Raw genomic sequence first — 7,026 nt, 5'->3', positions numbered from 1 at the left:
TCATTAGCATGAATTCTGCAAAGGATCCATCTGAGATGAGGAAGAAACCTCGTCCCCTCTCCATGCCCCTTCAGAATGGAAGGCTAGAACTCCGGTAGATGTTATTCTTCCTCTCGCTGAATTGAGTAATTGTTTTCCGTAGTAAATGTGATTGACTTGTGTTTGTTCACTGGATTCCTTAATCTCAAAAAGAATGGCATCCATTTTGCAGGCAATGATGCTGACGGAAGTTATTTTTTTTTTTTTAAACTTCCTCGGGAGTTTTGCCAACTTGCGATGGCTACTTCCTTCTCATTATCGGCACCTCCTTCCCAGCACCCAACAATATCATCTAGCAGAAATAGCTCTGCTAAGAATCACTGATTTAACGAGTAGACTGTCCTTCAGCCATTGAATGCGAAGTGTTTAATAATCAATCAGAGATCGGGTTCACTTAGGTTTACGGGGTTGAAAGGGAGACAAAAACCCTTCACCATCACTTCTCAGCCAGTCCTGGAGCCGCTCTCCACTTCCCTCCTGATGACAGGTTTCTGGGTTTAAATCATGCCCCCAGGGAATGGATGTGAAACTGTGGTCCTGCAGTTTGCTGTCAGTGCCTGGGTATCCTGTAAAAGACAGCTTTGCAGTTTCATTTATTGGAGGGGCAAAGTTGACTGCCAAATAATTGGGTTGAGACTCCCCCAACTCCCCCTTACTTTTCTTGGGATTGTAGGGACCACTTCTCCCCATAAACATATTAAATTGCAGCCTTCCAGAGGAAAGAGATAGAGGAACACATCTTTCAGAGCTGCTATTTTTTTAAATTTATTTTCAGACTAATTAAAAATGTTCTGGTCTTTTCTGGTTTTGAATTGTAAAGACGTGCGCTTGTCCTCTGCATTGTGTGTGTGTGAGAGCACACCGAGACAGAGGAACAGGAAGGCAGAGTCTGCAAAAAACCTTGCAAAACCAAAACACATCCTGGGGCCCCACACAATTAGTGAAAATCTTGCTGCTACTGTAGAGCCGAGGTGTAAAAACTTTGAGCTGCTAAGTGCTTGCAGCATTGTGCTCTCTGCTTGTGACATTTTGTGGCCGTGGTTTCTGCTCAGGTGAGATTTATCAGTTCAAAGAATAGACTCAATGGAAAAGTACGGCTTTGCACATAAACAGACTGTCGTTCACAACCACCACGTTGACGGCAGTTTACTGAAATTAATTCTCCTTTGAGTTAAAAGACTTAAAGCTCCCAAAGAATGTGTCCATGTTTATATATTTTAAAATATATAAAAGAAAAGCCAAATCACTTACCACTTAATTTCTAAGTTAGTGTTTCTGAGGGATGGAAAAAAAATAACTAAAAGTTTTGGACCAGAGAATTTTTTTTTAATTTTTTATTTATTTTATTTTATTTTTTTAAATTCAGATTTGGGGTCAGCAGTGGCACTGAGGTTTTGGTTGGATTCCATCTCATCCTTTTTTTCTCTGAGTTTTGTTTTCTTTTTTCCTCTCTGCTATAACTCTCTGGTGAAATGGCAAGGAACTAACAGTGATAAGAAAAAGTGAGAAACAGATCCGTGTAGCAGTAATGACGGAAACTAAAAAGCGACTGCACCCCTGAGACATACGCCAATTACAACACAGAGAAATACGATGCCATGACATCTGTTGGGCCTGTTGTTTACCAAGTCGAGGTGGCAAATATTTGTTGGGCATCTCCTATGCGTAATGCATCCTAGACGCCTATTCACGGACCTCAAGACATTTCTAGTAGAGATAACTTATTCTGAACAGCAATTCTCAAAAAACTTCAAGGATCCTCCAAGAAGAGTTATTTGAGTCAGAGGGTATCAGGGAACCAACAGGGCGTGAATGAGATGCGTGGGGAGTGGCTCAGGTCAGGGCCTGGGGATGACATGGGGCAGGAGAGCCATCCTTTTCAGAGTGGTCACTAGAAAGGTTTCATCATGGTTGTGAGGATTTGCTGCCACACTAGGAGGAGACTAGTCCAGGGCCCATGGCTCTGCCATCATGGAGTGTCTGGTCTGGGATGTGGATGAACCGTAGACATTGTTCCTGATGGTTACGAAGACAGAGATTGGGGGTTGAGGAAAGAGCGTGGAGGTAAAACAAATAGTTGCTAGTAGAGAATATGGGAACGCAGCAGGCTATATGCAGGGGAGTGTTGAGACCTCACCCCACCTGTTCAGAGTGGAGTTGAGCAGTGAGTGGGTAACGGGCCGATGAAGGCTGGTCAGGGTGTCCTTGTACACAGGGGCTGGGCTCTGACCAGGTGGTGTGAAAGCCAATAACTGTCATGTACTCGAAATGTCAGCCTCGGCCGAGCCCACCTAAGGTGCTCAGACATTTCCAAAGCATTTTCTGTGGGCTGCACCGGACCGGCTTCAAGTCTCCACAACCCCGACCACACTGGGGCAGAGATATCTTCCAGTGCAATCTGAGGCCTGAGACAGAAAGTGGCTTCTTGAGCTCACAGATGGCTAAGATTGGAGCCAGGACTCTCCAGCCCAGATATTTTAACTCTCCCTCCACCCTGCCCAGCAGTCCCCACAGTCTCAGAACTTCTCACCATCCACAGATATGCAAAAGCACCTTCCAAAACCAACCCCGGGGAAGATCTGACTCTGGATTTGGCGAAACAACCTTGAGATGTTGGGAAGTTCAGGGTTTCTCCACCTCGGCACTATTGGCGCTTGGGGCTGGATGATTCTCTGTTGCAGGGGGCTTTTCTGCTACCCACTAGATGCCAGTGGCACACCCCTTCCCCCGAGCTGTGACAACCCAAATTACTTCCAGACATTGCGAACAATCTCCCAAGGAGGCAAAATCACCCGTGGTTGGAAACCACTGCTGTGGTGTGTCTGTAAATATGGTGGTGTTTGTCCCCACCCTGTGTGACAGGTGTCCCCAAGGCCAGGATGAAGCTGCTGAGGCCAGGGTGAGCTAAGAGGGGGTGAGAAGAAGCAGCCTGAGTCTGGTGTCACACAGGACTGAGGAAGTCCAAAGAACAGGCTTTTTGTCCTGGTCCTGATGGCCATGGAAAAAAAATCACTTGATCTGTCCCACCATGCTGTTCCTCACGTCTATTGCATTGAGATAACTTCTATTTTATTGATTGTAGATATGGGGTCTTGCTCTGTTGCCTAGGCTGGTCTCAAACTTCTAGCCTCAAGTGATCCTCCCTCCTCAGCCTCCTAAAGTGCTGGGATTACAGGTGTGAGCCACAGAGCCTGCCTGAATTGAGATCAGTATTTTTTTTTTTTTTTTGAGATGGAGTTTTGCTCTTGTTGTCCAAGCTGGAGTCAATGGCGTGATCTCGGCTCACTACAACCTCCACTTCCCAGGTTCAAGGAATTCTCCTGCTTCAACCTCCTGAGTAGCTGGGATTACAGGTACACGCCACCATGTCCGGCTAATTTTTTGTATTTTTAGTAGAAATGGGGTTTCACCATGTTAGCCAGGATGGTCTCTATCTCCTGACCTCAGGTGATCCACCCGCCTCAGCCTCCCAAAGTGCTGGGATTACAGGCGTGAGCCACCGTGTCCAGCCGAGATCAGTTTTAATTCTCACATTCTACTGCAAAGGTAAAATGGTCTTGGGCTGCAGTTCTCTGTTTTGAGACACCAGACAGGTGAAAAGGCAGTAAAGTCCCTGGACTCTCATCACCAGTTGGCTGGAGACCCAGGGTATGAGCCCAGAAGGAAGGAATAACAGCAGAGGCTGGAAAGTGAGCCAGTGAGTGGGGCTGTGTATGTCAGAGCTTCCTGCCATCTCTCCTCTTCTTCCTCTTCATCCCCTTTCCTTCCCTTTCCCTCTTCTTTCATTCATTAACTGGTGAGACAACCAGCCAGCATTGCCGAGAGAAACAGGGAGACTGTGACGATCCACAGGGTGCGGTATCATGTTTGTATTCCACATAGTCAGTATGATTCAAAGATCCAAAAGTTTGACCCAGCATGTTGGACAGGCACATACACAACATACATGCATGCACACGCGTATATTTCTAGTAATTATCCACAGGAAGTAGTGAGTCCACAATGCCAAGAATTTCTCCTTTTCAGTGGCTATTTGTGATGAGAAGCAATGTGCATTCCACTGCATTCTAGCATCAGATTATGGGAGGGGAATGTGGTCATCGAAGGCATGTCCTCTTTCCTATAAAGATTTCATTCAAATAGAGTTCTGCATCTGATAGTAAAAACAAACAAACAAACAAACAAACAAAAAAACAGAGGACAATTTCTTCGCCAATGAAAATGGCCCCCTATGAAGGCATAGGAGCCTATTTCAAATAAGGATTAGGAAAAATTCAACAAGGGAAATGATGCTTTGAGTATGTTAACTTGCAAAAGGAAGAACCCTATTTCCTCTTTTCTAAGAGGAAGACAACTACTTTTGCTTTGATCAGAGTGCCGCTTGAGTGGCCAGAACTGACAAGGTTGGCAGAAGCGATGAGCTGAGAATTAAGGGCAGCGTCTGGGCCTGTGGGAGGTGCCATATGTGGGCTCACATCCACTGAACCTTGATCTCCTTTGCACACCTCCATGTAATTTATAAATCAGCAGTATTCACTCTGCCAAGAGGAAGTCTACAAAAAAGAGATGTGCTTGGCGCTCCTGGAAATGCTTTTACTTTGGGGAAAAAGCAGAGTGTACACTTTGAATGGAAATAAGCAGGCTGAAGCCACAGAGGCCATTTATATGCAGCACCGGGATGCAGACAGGAGAGCGGAGCCCTCCTTAAAGGCGCAGATCGCTGAGAAGGCTCATCTCTCTCCATGCTTAAGAGGCCTGACTAGGCTTGGGTCTTGTTTGATAACCAGGGCATAACATTTAAACATACTTACAAAAATTCTTCCATAAAATCAATTCATAAAAACTTCTAACTCTGAAGCAAAGTGTTAAAATAGGTACTGGGTTACCCGCAAGGATTGTTGTCAGAATAAAATGAAAGGACCTAAAAAGTTAGCATACCAGTTGAAGCCATTCTTACTAAGACATGCATTGTATGCTTGAATAGATAGAATTCAGAGCTAAAATCTAAACTTTGGCCGTCTGAACACTGCCCATCAGGATCAGCCACAAGAGCCCCCCCTCAATTACAAAGCTGGTCCTCACCACCTAGTTCATGTTGGATTTTGATCCTTCTCAGTGTCTTCACTTATTCTTGTTATTTCCAACATCATGTTTTCCAAATCCCAACTTCTTCCCTCACTGGCTGTGTGACCATGGGAAGTTACTAGACCTCTCTGAGCTTTTGTTTCCTCATCTGTAGAATGGGGTAACAGTACCACCTTCAGTTACAGAACACCCCACATCAGCTGGTTTGCAACATGCCCTTGATTTCCCCTGGTTTCTCTCTCGCCTTTTACTCCCATCCCCACCCTTTCCCATCCCGGGTCCCTGCTACATCTCATGACTGAACAACTCTTGCAACCCACGGGGCATAATTTTGCTCCTCTCTCTAGCCACAAGACAAAAAAAATGATAATAAGACTAATCATGTGAATTCGAGGCTCTATGCAGCGTCCATAGCCCACAATTCAGACTCTCCAGGGATGTTTCTGAATAGGAACCCCACAATTCGCCAGATGACAACACGTCACATCCAAATAACCCCTCTTCTTGCTTCGCCACACCAACAAATGGGGTCGTATAAATTTGGAGAGCTAGAGTAGATTTTCTCTCATCACTGCCTCTCTGCAGTTTTATCCACAGGAAAAAGAGAAACAGTTGAGTCTTGGCTACGTGAATTAATATCTCCTGTCTTATTTTTTTTCGTCGTACTTTTTTTTGTTTTCTTTCTTTTTCTTTATCGTTGTTTTTTTGTTTTGTTTTGTTTTTGTTTTTTAGACAGAGTCTCACTCTGTCACCCAGGCTGGAGTGCAGTGGCGTGATCTTGGCTCACTGCAACCTCTACCTCCTGGGTTTAAGCAAATCTCATGCCTAGGTCTCCTGAGTAGCTGGGATTACAGGTATGAGCCCCTATGCCCGGCTAATTTTTGTATTTTACTAAAAATAGTCAAGAGAGGGGGTTTTGTTATGTGGGCCAGGCTGGTCTCGAACTCCTGACCTCAGGTAATCCACCCAACTCGGCCTCCCAAAGTGTTGGGATTACAGGTGTGAGCCACTGCGCCTGGCCCTTGGTACTTTTTAATGACTTAAATAATATAGGCAAGTCTAAGGCAGGATGGAAATAGTTTTAAAACGAATTTTATTCTGAGATAAAACATCTGCTTTATTTTTTCTATAGGGAGAATGGTTTCATAATTGGTAACTTTCAGTATCGCTGAAATTTAAAGGTGGCTTGGTGATGGATTTGTCTTTATTTTAGTATGTGTTGCTTTCTGTCTCTATTTTATGTCTTTTAAGTATTTGATTTCTAAGTGCTATGGTATTTCATTTCCTTTTTAATGTGTCTTCTTAAAAATGAAAGTATATGATTATATAATCTTAGGCAGATGAACTACTTTCTAGTTATGACATCAAAGGACTAAAGTACAACAGAAAATATCTCAACACATGACTATACAAATATATTTTTAATGTCTATCAAATATTTCATATATAAAATTCAGAGGCACATAACTAGATAGGAGAAGATAAATTTCAAGTGTGTAGGAATCAAGTTTAATATCCTGTCAGGTGGTAGGGGCACACACCTGCAGTCCCAGCTACTCAGGAGGCTGAGATGGAAGGATTGCTTGAGCCCAGGAGCTTGAATCTGGCTTGGACAACATAGTGAGACATTGTCTTTGAGAAAAAACAAACCGAAAGCCAAAAGCAAAACCAAAGAGACAGAGAGAGAGAGAGAGACAGACAGACACAGAGAGAGAGAGAGAGCACTCACAAATCAAAAAGATATAAATGAGCATCTAAATAGAAGAAAATGAGTAAAAGACATGAATAAACATTTCGTATTGGAAGAAAATGAACTGAGCAATAAATAGAGGAAAGTATGTGCAATTCCAGGCATCAAAGAAATCTAAATTAATATGAGGAGACAACATTTTTAACTACTTT

General features: G+C 43.7%; 1 annotated feature.

Moving 5' to 3' along the window:
- Positions 4,552-4,791: an enhancer, noted in NCBI's record as "active region_2980". NCBI's record gives its function as "activates an Ori minimal core promoter by ATAC-STARR-seq in GM12878 lymphoblastoid cells {active_cell/tissue: GM12878}" and the evidence as "EXISTENCE:reporter gene assay evidence [ECO:0000049][PMID:35858748]".

Source organism: Homo sapiens, chromosome 10 (assembly GCF_000001405.40).
Source record: "Homo sapiens chromosome 10, GRCh38.p14 Primary Assembly".
Taxonomy (NCBI): Eukaryota; Metazoa; Chordata; class Mammalia; order Primates; family Hominidae; genus Homo; species Homo sapiens.
This window is presented reverse-complemented; position numbering and strand designations above follow the sequence as displayed.